This window comes from Homo sapiens, chromosome 5 (assembly GCF_000001405.40).
Source record: "Homo sapiens chromosome 5, GRCh38.p14 Primary Assembly".
NCBI classification, from domain to species: Eukaryota; Metazoa; Chordata; class Mammalia; order Primates; family Hominidae; genus Homo; species Homo sapiens.
In genome coordinates, this window is record NC_000005.10 from 93,663,150 (window position 1) to 93,675,979 (window position 12,830).

The 12,830-nt window shown below is 35.9% G+C and overlaps 1 protein-coding gene and 1 long non-coding RNA gene across 20 annotated transcripts in view; one reads left to right on the forward strand and one right to left on the reverse strand.

Annotated features, from left to right (window-relative positions):
* Positions 1–11,694, forward strand: part of LOC124901028 (uncharacterized) — a 53,162-nt gene extending 41,468 nt beyond the window's left edge. The window contains exons 2-3 of the long non-coding RNA XR_007058874.1: positions 2,977–3,038; positions 10,267–11,694. This is a non-coding gene — a long non-coding RNA (uncharacterized LOC124901028). The remainder of the gene's footprint in view (positions 1–2,976; positions 3,039–10,266) is intronic.
* The window catches only part of ARB2A (ARB2 cotranscriptional regulator A), a 493,975-nt gene that overhangs the window by 45,425 nt on the left and 435,720 nt on the right, over positions 1–12,830 (reverse strand). The window lies entirely within an intron of this gene.

Sequence of the window (12,830 nt, forward strand, 5' to 3'; positions counted from 1 at the left end):
TCACAGCACCAACTCTCTTATTCTGTCAGCAAATCCCTTCTATTTTCCTCCAGTCTCTCTCCTGGTTGAAACCAAACTATATAAACTGCAGTCAATCAAGTGATAAAACAATTCGCTTACCTGTGCCAAACTGTTTTTACAGGTTACAAACATAAACTTTTCTATACAGTTATTATTTGAGACTAAAGGTAAGGTAGGTGAGCTTTAACATTCCCCTTCCCCTGAAGGAAAGCTAAAAGTTTCCTCCTGTATTTTTCTTTTCCATTTGGGCTAAACTTGGTAAATTATTTCAGCCTAGGAGGAGAGGAGTAGGGAAATTGGGAGGAAATGAGGAAAGAAGCTATTTCAACTGATCATGTGAGATAGATGGGTAGGCTGAATATACACCCATCTCTCCCTTGTTCCACATGGAATATAAAAAAAGGCTATCGGATAGACTGCACAGGGAAAGAGTTGTCTAAGGGCATGTACGACGATGGAATGGGATTGGGCGCCCTTCACATCTCAACTGGGCTTTGGTGGTGAGAGGCACAGCAGAAAGCAAAGGAAGGAAGATCATCCTATTTGTTCAGGTCTTGGTGATAATTAGCTAAATGTAATTTCCATATAGTTAATTACAATTACAAGTATACTCTAAATAAATAGTGCATTGCTTCCCTAATGGAATATCAGAAGTTACAATGAAATATTATATCTTTTTGGCCAAGTGAAATAAATTTGTTTCTAAATATAATTTCTTCAATAGTGATTATCTTTAGAAAGAAATAAAGGTAGTATTTTGTAATATTAACTGCATAATTTAACTCATTTAATTTTATTATAATAAGAGGAACGCTTTCCAAAGGGTTCATGTATCAATAGTGTTCTGATAATGTAGGCCTTATAAAACATACTCCATTGGTTCTAACATACTCTTTTTTTTATTTTTATACTTTTTTAGCGGTAGGGTCTTGCTCTGTCACCCAGGCTGGGCGGGGGTGGGGGGCAGTGGTATGATCATAGCTCAATGCAGCCTCAAACTCCTAGGCTCAGAGGATCCTCCCGCCTCAGCTTCCCAAGTAGCTAAGACTACAGGTGCGTGCCACCATGCCTGGCTAAGTTTTTAAAATTTTTTGCAGACAGGTTCTCATTATGTTGGTGAGGCTGGTCTCAAACTCCTGGCCTCAAGCAATCCTCCTGCCTTGGCCCTCCAAAATGCTGACATTATAGGCATATTATTTTTTTAAGTATGTTAGAGGCCATCACACCTGGGCTATAAGATACTTTAAAAAATAATATGGCTTCATCCTGGCTAAAACAGTGAAACCCCATCTCTACTAAAAACACAAAAAATTAGCCAGGCATGATGGCGGGCACCTGTACTCCCAGGTACTCGGGAAGCTGAGGCAGGAGAATGACATGAACCCGGGAGGTGGAGCTTGCAGTGAGCCGAGATAGCGCCACTGCACTCCAGCCTGGGCGACAGAGCGAGACTTCGTCTCAAAAATATATATATATATATATAATAATAATAATATGTCTTATAATGTGACAAATATACATAATATGAATTATACAAATAAATAAAGGTTGCACAAATAGGTATAATATATTAGCTCTACACTTACGACAGATATTACAAGACCTTAACAGTAAAAGCAGACTGAAGTCATCGTATCATTTTGGGATTTATTAATGCATTTCTTTTTTTCCTTTTTGCCACAGTCTCGCTCTGTCACCCAGGCTGGAGTGCAATGGCACAATCTTGGCTCACTGCAACTTCCGCCTCCCAGGCTCAAATGATCCTCCTGCCTCTGCCTCCCAGGTAGCTGGGACTACAGGCATGCACTACCATGCCTGGCTAATTTTTGTATTTTTTGTAGAGACAGAGTTTTGCCATGTTGCCCAGGCTGATATTGAATTCCTGGGCTCAAGTAACCTGCCTGTCTTGGCCTCCCAAAGTGCTGGGATTACAGGCATGAGCCGCTGCACCTGGCCTTCAACGCATTTCTCAGTTTCATATGTATATTCAATAATTTACCTTATAAATTCAGATTTAGCTATTACACCTAGAGAATTGACATGATGTACTAAAAAATAAAAGAAATCACAATTTACTTCTTTTAATAGTGAAGTTAATAATGAGTCTGTGTTAAATGATTTTACTTATAAGAAAACCAACTGAGTCACAGATAAGAGATTCTGTAGCTTATATAACTATTTCCACATAGTGCCTAGAAGCTGCTATACACACCCCAAACAGCATTTTACATCTACCTTAATTGATAGGATTTGTCACTAAGATAGTACCCAGGGTTCACAACAAACTTGGACAACAGTCAAGTCTGATAAAACTAAAGCATAATGTAGAAGAAAGAAGAGATAGACCAAAGACAGAAACATTGATGGCAGAAACATATAGGTGTCAGATCTAACATCAAGAAAACCCAAACCAATTTTTATTATTTAGAATGTGAGCTGATAAAACAAACAGGGGTCAGGCACATGGCATTCTATTACTATAGATGCATTTTCCGTGTTAGAGTTTATTTAACACAGACCACTGCAAATAAATAATGATAAGACATCATAGCGTGTCTGATAATCTGTGACAACAATTCTAACGCTGTCACTGTGGCCACTGGAGAAACCTGCACGTACTGAGCCCTGACCTACCGAGCTTTTTATCTGCATGTGTACTCTCCACAGGCCAAGCAAATAAAGGCCAAATGATAATTTACACATGAATCAACTTTCTCTGCAGCATAGGCACCAGAGACGTTCTTTTCTCTGTTATTGAGAGAAAGGCAGCCAGGTCTAAGCTTGTCTCACTAGAAATCATACAAGTGAAACAGTGATTTGCAGAAAAATGGCAGATCAGCAAAGGGAAGCTGTTCTGAATGCGTGATAAAAATGGCAGCCACAAAGGACTAGATGAATATTTAGTTTGAAAACAGGCCTGACAGTAACAATGAGTCTTTATCCTATTCAAAACAGGTAGTGTCATACAAACTGAAATGGAGATACAATCCTGATAGAAGATTACACAAGATACCAGGGTAGGTATCTTTAAAGACTTCAACCTTCATTTTAATAAACGTAGACTCATGGATCCTTTCACCTACATCTTATTCAGATTACACACAGTTATTTCACATGAATGACATATGGAAGGTGTATTGCCCACTTTGAAAATGAGAAATGAATTGGTCAGGATGATTTTTTAACAAAAGCTTGTTCATGAAAAACTGGGTACACATTTTATGCCATGGAACTTGTGAAAAAAAATGTATTTAATATTCTCCAACCCAGACCCCCTTGGTACTTAGGTCAACTTTTATAAATTAATCAAAGGATCAAAATAGTGCTATATCCTTTTTTTTTTTTTTTTAAATATAGGAACTTGCAATGAACAATACTTGTCCTGGTCCATTTAACAGAGAAAAGGAGATTTATTATTAAATTTGTGTTAACAGGCCATTCCAAAGGTGATTATTATAATGTTCTAACTAATGACAGGTACTAACCAAATCAATAAAATTAATTTGTATTCCCCTATTACCACGTCCATAGTTTTGTGCAAGTCACGTTCCATCTGCCCCCTGGAATACCTACCTGCCTACTTAACAATGCATATTCCGGATTTCTTTTAAGTTTGGCTCAAGGCTCACTGTTCAGGAAACCTTCCCTTAAAGCTCCAGTTTTGGTGTGGTAGATGCTCCTAACTATGTACATGGACTGTCAACACATAACAATAGACCAAAATCATAAAAACAACTTTTATTCATGAGTTGTAAATATAAGAGATGTGGTATAATTTGTGGTCCATAAAAAGAAAATTTAAAATTTTTATTCCTTTGGAGTCCAGAAATGAATCTGTAAACTGTAGATCACAATCTATACTTTGAGAAAATGCCAAAAATAATAAGAGTGGTAGGATTTAAGTCTTATCAGTTCTTGGTGATGAGGTGCATACATCAAAAATTCTTGCAGCGACAGGTTTCTGAATATTCCTTAATTATTCCTCTCTGCCTTTATGAGGTTTTTCTTAACCTTCCAATTGCTTCCCTTACCTTTCTTCTTACATCATCCTCCTTTAGGCTGAAACCTCCTTGTACCCTTTCTTCTAAATTACAGTATTAATTTCCCCACCTCTGGCTGTTTAGTAGTTGTAGAAGTCAAAATTTGCATTTTCCTTAAACCGTAAGCTCCTAATGGGTACTAATCATACCTTCCATTTTTACATATCTACAAACTCTTATAGTGCCTAAACTAGTTTTAGCTATTCAGAGTATTCTTGATAGATGCCCACTGTTGAAAATTCTCTTTTTTTGGTTGGTGGGTGGGGGCAGAGTCTTGCTTTGTTGCCTAGGCTGGAGAGCAGAAGTGTGATCATCGTTCACTGCAGCTTCAAACTCCTGGGTGCAAGTGATCCTCCAGTCTCAGCCTCCTGAGTAGCTGGGACTACAGGCATGTGCCACCAGGTCCAGCTCGCTTATTTATTTAGTTTTGTAAAGACAGGGTTTTGCTATGTTGTCCAGGCTGGTCTTGAACTCTTGGCCTAAAGCAATCCTCCTGGCATGGGGATTACAGGCATGAGATACCATTCTCAGCCTGGAAATGATTAAGAATGCATTTTTAAAAGTCAAGCCACAATTTAGCTAGTGATATTCATTAGTTTTTTGGGCCAATTTATAGGTAAATTCATATCACAGCTCTTGCAAACTGAAAGGTGAATTTCACTGCCAAAAGACAAGATCTCAATGACACTCTTAATGACTTTAAAGAGATAAAGTTTGGATGTGAAGGAGGAGTAAGGAATGACTAAATTAGAATGTTCATGATGCTACACTTAATTTTATACAATCTAATCTCAATCACTAAATTTCTTTTTCTACTAATTTTTTTCTTTTGGTAAGAAAAAGTTACTCTAATTTGAAAAGCAATATAAAAATATTATGTTCTTAAAGCTTTTAAAAAAATTATTATTATATTTTGAGATAGCGTCTCAGTCTCACACAGGCTGGAGCAGTGGCCTGATCTCGGCTCACTGCAACCACCACCTCCTGGGTTCAAGCAATGCTTGTGCCTCAGCCTCCTGAGTGGCTGTGACTACAGGCATGCACCACCATGCCTGGCTAGTTTTTATATTGTTTAGTAGAGTCAGGGTTTCGGCACGTTGGCCAGGCTGGTCTTGAACTCCTGGCCTCAAGCAATCCTCCCAACTCAGCCTCCAAAAAGTGCTAGGATTATAGGCGTGAGCCACCATGCCTGGCTTGTTAAAGCTATTTAATTAGTAAGGCAAAAATGACTATGATCTATAAAAGCAAGGCAGATGGCAGTCCACATATATAAGAATAACAAAAGAATGGGGATAGGGCCTTGGCTGACAGTGTTTTTTAAAAGCAACATGAGGACAAAGAAATCAGAAGCTTTCCAAATTACCAAAGAGGCAGACAAAGAACAAAATGCAAATTTGAGTCCACTTAATTCAGTGCATTTAAGATGGTATTTGTTTTTTTTGAGTTTTAGGAACAGTGGATAGGATAAGTACTTGAATTTAGAATATTCCTCTTCACTTCACTATGTATTTTATTCTTCTTTACCACTTTACTTTGATAAAAGCTATTCTTATCAAAGTCTTCTCTCTTCATCTTATCATTTCTTATCATTCATCCAGTTCCCTCCTTATTGATCATCAGACCATGAAAGAGACAATGGATAGCTCTACCAGAGTCAATATATAATGCAGACATTGCATCTACTCAATCTACCAGGTCTGTCGATCTGCCATGGGGAAAACTGGATTGGCCTATAATTTTGTTCACAAGAGCAAGCTGATAATTACAACAAAACCTGTGATCCCCAAATGTCTGAATGATGACTTTGGAACTTTCTAAAGTACTTTCTAAAGTATCTAAAATAAGTTGACGGAACTATAACTTTAAAAGTCATCCTAATTTGTATGTTTGACGTGAAATACCACATTTATCCCTTCCTAATTCTAGTTGTTCTTACCACTGCTGTATTCCCCACACCATACAAAGTGAAAATAAAAACCAGTCTGCCAAAGAAGACAGCTTTGCTCTTTAGAGTTGTGAGTGAATGAACAAATTAACAAGCACACACAAAGTACCTTTTTAAAAGGTGATAAAACTCAACAATTAAGGATGTGGTTTCCAGACAAATGTAACACTTAAATGGTAAATCTACTGTCATGGAAGTGGGAAGAACTAGTTAATATTTGGGGACATGTCTTCTTCATACCTGACTGACAAGACAAGTTATGAGAGGCACTGTTTTCAGGTTTGAATGGGGCTAACTAGAGAAACCTATTTGCAAAGGGTTACTCAGCCATTTAAAAAAAGTATAAAACAGAGTACCTACATTTGTAAGGCATCATTAACATTATGGATTCTTAATGTTATTAAAATTCTTTAATAGAGAATCAAGGGAAGGAGAACTTGTTTTTCAAATTACGTGTTGTTGTCATGTTGGGGCTATGGAAAACCTTTCCCCATTGCAGTATGCAGAAGGCAAACTCCTGCATACTACAAATGAAATCTGCATTGGTCAGAAGTAGCTAATTTGGAGGGTGTACACAGCCTGTTAGTCAACGGTGACTTTTATATTCTAATCATACACACTGTTGTTAGACCCTTACATTCTAGTCAAATAACTTCTAGGTCATGTTAGAAGTTTCACACGTTGGTAAAAAAGAAATTTTAAAGTTATGCACTTGCTATTTTTTCTTTCTTATCCTGAAACTTCTCTCTGATCTCTAGACTATTTCCTTAAATAAAGGTTCTAACATAAAAAGAGAGCATGGTTAAATGCCAAAATTTTGCTCCCAATTTTCCCTCCCAAACCTGTTCTTCTCCTAGACTTCCTTATCTTAGTAAATGACACCACCCAGATGTTCAAGCCAACAATCTAGGAGTCATTTTTCATCCTTCCTATCCCCTCACTTCCCATCTCTAAATGATTATGTTGGACACTTCTTCCCATCTCCAACTCCTGCCACCAAAATCCAAGTCACCATAATTGCCTGCCTAGGCTATTGAGCCAGCTTCTTAAGTGGTCAGCTGCTTACCCACTTGTTCCCCCACCAATCCACTTTTAATCTAAAATAGATATGATCACTATCCAACTCAAGACCCTCAGTGGTTTCCCACTGTACTTACAAGAAAATAAAAATTTGGACTCCAAGGCTCCAAGGCTCTAAGCAATGTGGCTTCTGCCTAGATCTCCTTGTTCTACCTGCTACAGGCTCACTCACCTTCGTTTGTTCCTTCAACAGGAGCAGCCCCTCCTTAGTCTGCCTAGAGTGATTCTATGATTTTCAAGCCTTAAGTAAATTCAGTAGCCTTTTTTGAAGGTAAAGGAAATATATTCAGCATAACTCAGGGCCATGTACCATGTCTGTTATTTTCACTTAGAAATACCTTCTATGTTGTTAAGTTTAGGAAAAAAACAGCAGATTAAATTCCCACAAAATGAATATTCATTCACATAGGAACAATTAAAAGCACAATCTCATTCTTTACATGTTGCATTTAGTTATGCCTAATGAGTAATGAGAACTTACAAACATAATATTTCTTGTACATTTCTGATTATGAAAAAATTATGAGTCTAGAAAGGGACAGATTTTCTCAAAGACTATAGTCAGTCCTCTGTTTATGTATAAAAATGCAATGGTGATTATACACTTTACAATGCTGAAATGTTCCAAATTACTTTCATTTACAATTGTACTATTTAAAATAATTCTCTAATTATTTTTTCCTGCTAGAATTTTTATAAAGTATAAGAGGAAAGTGATTTTCTTATAATAGACTAGTCTGTCTCCTCACAGGAGCATCCAGAATGCCACTATTTCAGGACTTTCATTGTGATATACAAAATGCTGACACTGATTATGCACTTGAAAATGATGAATTGTTTTCCTCATTAGTAAGGGAAGCATTATAAACCCTCAAAACAAGATATTTTCCATATATTTTATTCAACAGGGTACTGGTAATTAAAAACTTTCCAGAATCTTAAAGAAGCCAGATTAGTCTAATAAAATAAATATACACTGTCATCATTTCTGTTGTATCAATTGTTACTGAGTAATAATTGTCAATAATGATTTTACCATCCATTTTGTAATCAACTAAAAAGTACAGAATATAAAGAAGCACAGTATAAAATCCAGCCTTGTTTTTTTGAATACATGAAGTAAAGAATAAAGATAAAAGCCCAAATGTAAATAAGTCATTTTAGATGATACAGTGAACTAACACAGAATTACAATATTACTTGAAAATTTGTTCTAAATGTCAAATAATAAGAGCTGAGGATTCACATCCTTAAAAAACCCTTAGGTATATTGAAATCATTTCCAATATTTGATTAATAAAAAGTAGGATTTACAATTCTAATTGATAATTGGAAATACCATCAGACTTCATGTTATTAAAAAAATGAAGCAAAATTTGATTTACAAAAAAATTTTTGGACATTTAATACTTCTTTCCAGAATTTTTGAGATGACCCCTCAATTTTTCAATGAGCTCTTACACTAAAAAAGAGGATTGGAAAAAAAAGTTTGGAAAAAATACCACTTTAATGTACTGACTCATTTTTAAGATTGTTATAATTGGTTGGTCACTGAAATAAATAATCATTAAGACTTAAAACTTTAAATGGAAGGAAAACAAAGTAGCTTGGAAGAGGATAAAGGTAGAAGATAGTGTGAAGAAAAATAGAAATGTTACAGACATACTAAAACTCATTTATTTCAATGGAAAGAACTGGTAAGTAAGTAAGCATGCTAGTAAGTACTGTCTAAGGAGATAGTAACTTTGAGGAATGGCTGAGTGAGTTCTGCTTAAGATCAGTTTATTTTACTATTCCCTTCCAAAGGTGGGTCTAAGTCGTGTTGAGAATTAGCTCCAAATCTTAAAGAAGAATTTTATTGTATTGTTATCAATTATCAGTCTTCTAAATAACACAACATATTTACATATGAAAAGTCAAACAATCCCAAGTCTCTTCCTACATCTGACTTGGGCATGACAATGTTCAATACTTTTAAAATGATGGGGACTGAGAATAATATTAACTAAAGGGTTAACCATCTTTTGGCAGTAGTCTTAAAAAAGTAGTGATAGAAATGTTGCTGTATGCATCACTAATGTTCTTTTTTTTTTTTTAGATGGAGTCTCGCTGTCACGAGGCTGGAGTGCAATGGCGCCATCTTGGCCCACTGCAACCTCTGAAGCCCTGGTTCAAGCGATTCTCCTGCCTCAGCCTCCTGAGTAGCTGGGATTACAGGCACTCACCACCACACCCAGCTAATTTTTATATTTTTAGTAGAGACGGGGTTTCACCATGTTGGCCAGGATGGTCTCAATCTCCTGACCTTGTGATCCACCCGCCTCAGCCTCCCAAAGTGCTGGGATTACAGCCGTGAGCCACCATGCCCAGCATGCATCACTAATATTTTAGTGCATTAAAAAATTTAAGCTAATGAGATAAAGAAGAAAAAACAATTAATGATGGGTAAGGAATACTTAAAACCCACAAAATTTAGTCCAGAACTAAACTGTGCTTAAATTTGAAGAAAATAGAATTTTAAAATTCTACATTTACACTTAAAATTATGGTTTACAAATATGATTTTGGCATTAGCTATTATTAGTCTTTAATAGAAAATTATAGAAAACCAGGATGTGACTTGGCTCTTTTAATCATATCACCAGAAGTTTAATGTCTAACCATGGATGTTATCCTCAGTTTCTCGCATTTCTACTTGGTCTATTTGTAACTTTAGCTACTGCAGAAACCAAACCAAACCAAACTTCATTTTGTTCACTAATGCCAACACACATGAAACATAATTGTCTCTAGATAATGAAATATAATATTTTTTAAAGTATCACTTGATAAAGGAAAAGTTTCTGAAGTTAATAGAATCTATTTTCTTCTAGTTCTATTTCCTTTTTCTACTTTACACTGTAGATTTTATAGATAGCCAACAGAATCTACATTTCAAGTGTGAGGTAATTTTAAATGAAATAATTAAAAATAGAGAGTTTTTAAGCAGCACTGCTTACTGACCCTGACAGTTTTGTTTTGGGACACAGAATATAAAGCCATTTACTCAAGAATCTTTGTGTTCAGCATAAAATATTTAAAATGTCTCATTTTCTAGAGATCTGGTGGGAGTTCACGACAGATGTGTTCTTTCTTTCTCTCTTCTCTTTTTTTTTTCTCTCTCTTTCTTTTCTCTTTCAGCATTATTGTGTCAAATTAGCACTGATGATTTACCCATAGCAGTATGAACTTCTTGGAGGAAGGAAAGAAAAGTACAACAGCTTCTTCAGAGAAAAGAACAAATTGGCATAGGAAAGAAGAAAGACACTTCGTTTAAAGAATGTATTTTGCAGTAAATGCCCACAAACAGCCCATAGAGAGTTCACTTATTTATGCATCACCATATGATTATTCTGACTGCCTTTAGTCTCAAACAGGGAAAGCCTCCGCAAAAAGCATTCTCCAGGTGTTAGTTTAGGTTTGTCATTATTTCCTATTTATAGACTCTGTCTAGTAAAAGAAGACAAATTACTGTAAGTGGGGGTAAATGTGATTAAACGAGTCCTCTGAAGATAAGAAGTTACATGGACAAGGGTCATTAACACAAATGACCTCTTTTTGCCAGAACATATTTTTTTAATTTAGTGGATTTGAAAAAAACTGCAAAGCAAGAATAATCTCTACTGCACATACTCACAGAGAAACATATCCCTTTTATTCTAATAAATATTTTCATGACTCTTCAGTATTTTAATAACATACTGATAATGCCAAAATACTCTCAGAATACACCAAGAACAATATTGGAGGGATCATTTATCTTAAGGAGTCTAATCGGAAACACTTAAGCAACATAGTTATAATCAGACAAGACATATAACACCAAGAATGTAAGTTAGTGGAAACAAGATCATGGGAATCAAATGGAAAGCTGAAATTTGTAAAGTTTCAATTAAAACATCTACACTCTTTCTTTCACCTGATCGTAGCCCCATATGGCAAGGTCAGCCCTTTCAGTGAACAAACAGCTCAGTCGCCTCCAGTGTAGCTGTTATCTTCCTCAACAAGGGGAGACATTTGGCACAGCCTAAAGCTGGGGCATGAACCCTGGCTAAGCTTAAGACATTTATCTGACAGCATCAGCTGACACTCCACAAACACATTTGCTCTCCATGACCTCAGAGCATTCGTGATTAATCAAAAATGTATCTTGGATCTTGAGAACAAGCTACAACCAGGCACACACAAAAAAGAATATGCTCTCGATCTCACTTATCGACTCAAGAGGTATATTGAATTTAGAAATAGCAAATAGAATAAAATGATCAATATGTTCTCACTTGTCCATGGAAGAGCAAACTTTATCCCTCAAGCCAAAGACATTGATCATGTAAATGTTTCAGAACTGCTTTCAGACTCAATAATGCAAAATGCACATGGTTTATTGGGGGTAGAGAAGGAGGCCTGCCAAAGAGGAGCTTTTGCTTTAACTTAAAAAAATATATAGCTTGAAGACATAAAGCATTATGCTTGTAGTGTGCTATATTTTTTTACAAACTGTGTGTTCAGCCTAAAACCTTTTTTGGTAACATGTTGCTGAATGTTCTCAATAAAGCATTATAAAGGAGACTTTAAAACTTAATGAAGGAACATTATTTGTGCAGAGAAAACTCCCTGTCTTAATTTAAATGAGACACAGTTATAACATATCCCCTATGCACTGTTTACAATTTATAATTTATAATTTATGTCTCTTGGTTCAAACTCACTATTTTCTAAGTAATGATTAACATGTGAATACTGTAATATTCTGCTTCTCAACCAGTACAGTTTAGTATATTTTCATTTTCATTTGTACTTTTCACTTTCTAATAACAATACTGAATGCTAATTAAAGGAATGGGAACCAGAAGTCATATGCCCCACCCTTGATAATATGAAAATGATTATTATTAAAACAAACCTCTACAGTTGAACTTATTAAATCTCATACTTGCCTGATTACCCACTGGCTAGGTTACAGTTGTTCACGATCCTACAGCAGATCATTCTACTAAAGAAAAACTACATGTCCTGGTCCCTGTTGGCATGGCAAACAAACTTTCATAGCATGTGCTCACTCTATAAAATAGTGATACTAATTAGAAGATATAAACTCATGCTGAGATATGATATGAATTGGCTTTATGTATCTACTAAGCTCACAGCAGTACTAGATTTATACTGTTGTTGCTTTAAACTAACACTAAACAGAAAATTCAACTTCTAAATATGTATAAGAAAGCAAAAGTGATTGAGTTGAAAAAACAAAAACCTCACTCAGCCCCTCATTTTTGGTTTCTCTTCTAAAATGCTTCCTGAGTGCTTAGAGGTTGCCCACTACTTTTCTCCCATATGTTTACCTAACTTAAATTCTTCAAACATGAATTGCAAGTACCAGATAGCACAGCTGTATGTTTTGACATCCATGGTGAAAATGAGCAGAAAATCTAACTGTTCCATATCAAGAAGTATTTTTACTAGTGCTAATGTGCCTTAAATACCTTGTTCCACAGATGAGTGGCCTGGCACCTGCTGCATGAGAAATAGCCAATTACTGTTCAGTGTCTCTAATTTTCTGATTCAATTAGCATGCTTCAGAGCTTTCCAGTTTAATTGCAAACTACTTCACAGTTAGCTCTCTGATTAATCATTGCCCATCTGCAAGCCATCGGAAAACTTAGTGGAACAAATTTGTGTACTTTGGAATGCTGGGAGCTTAGCAA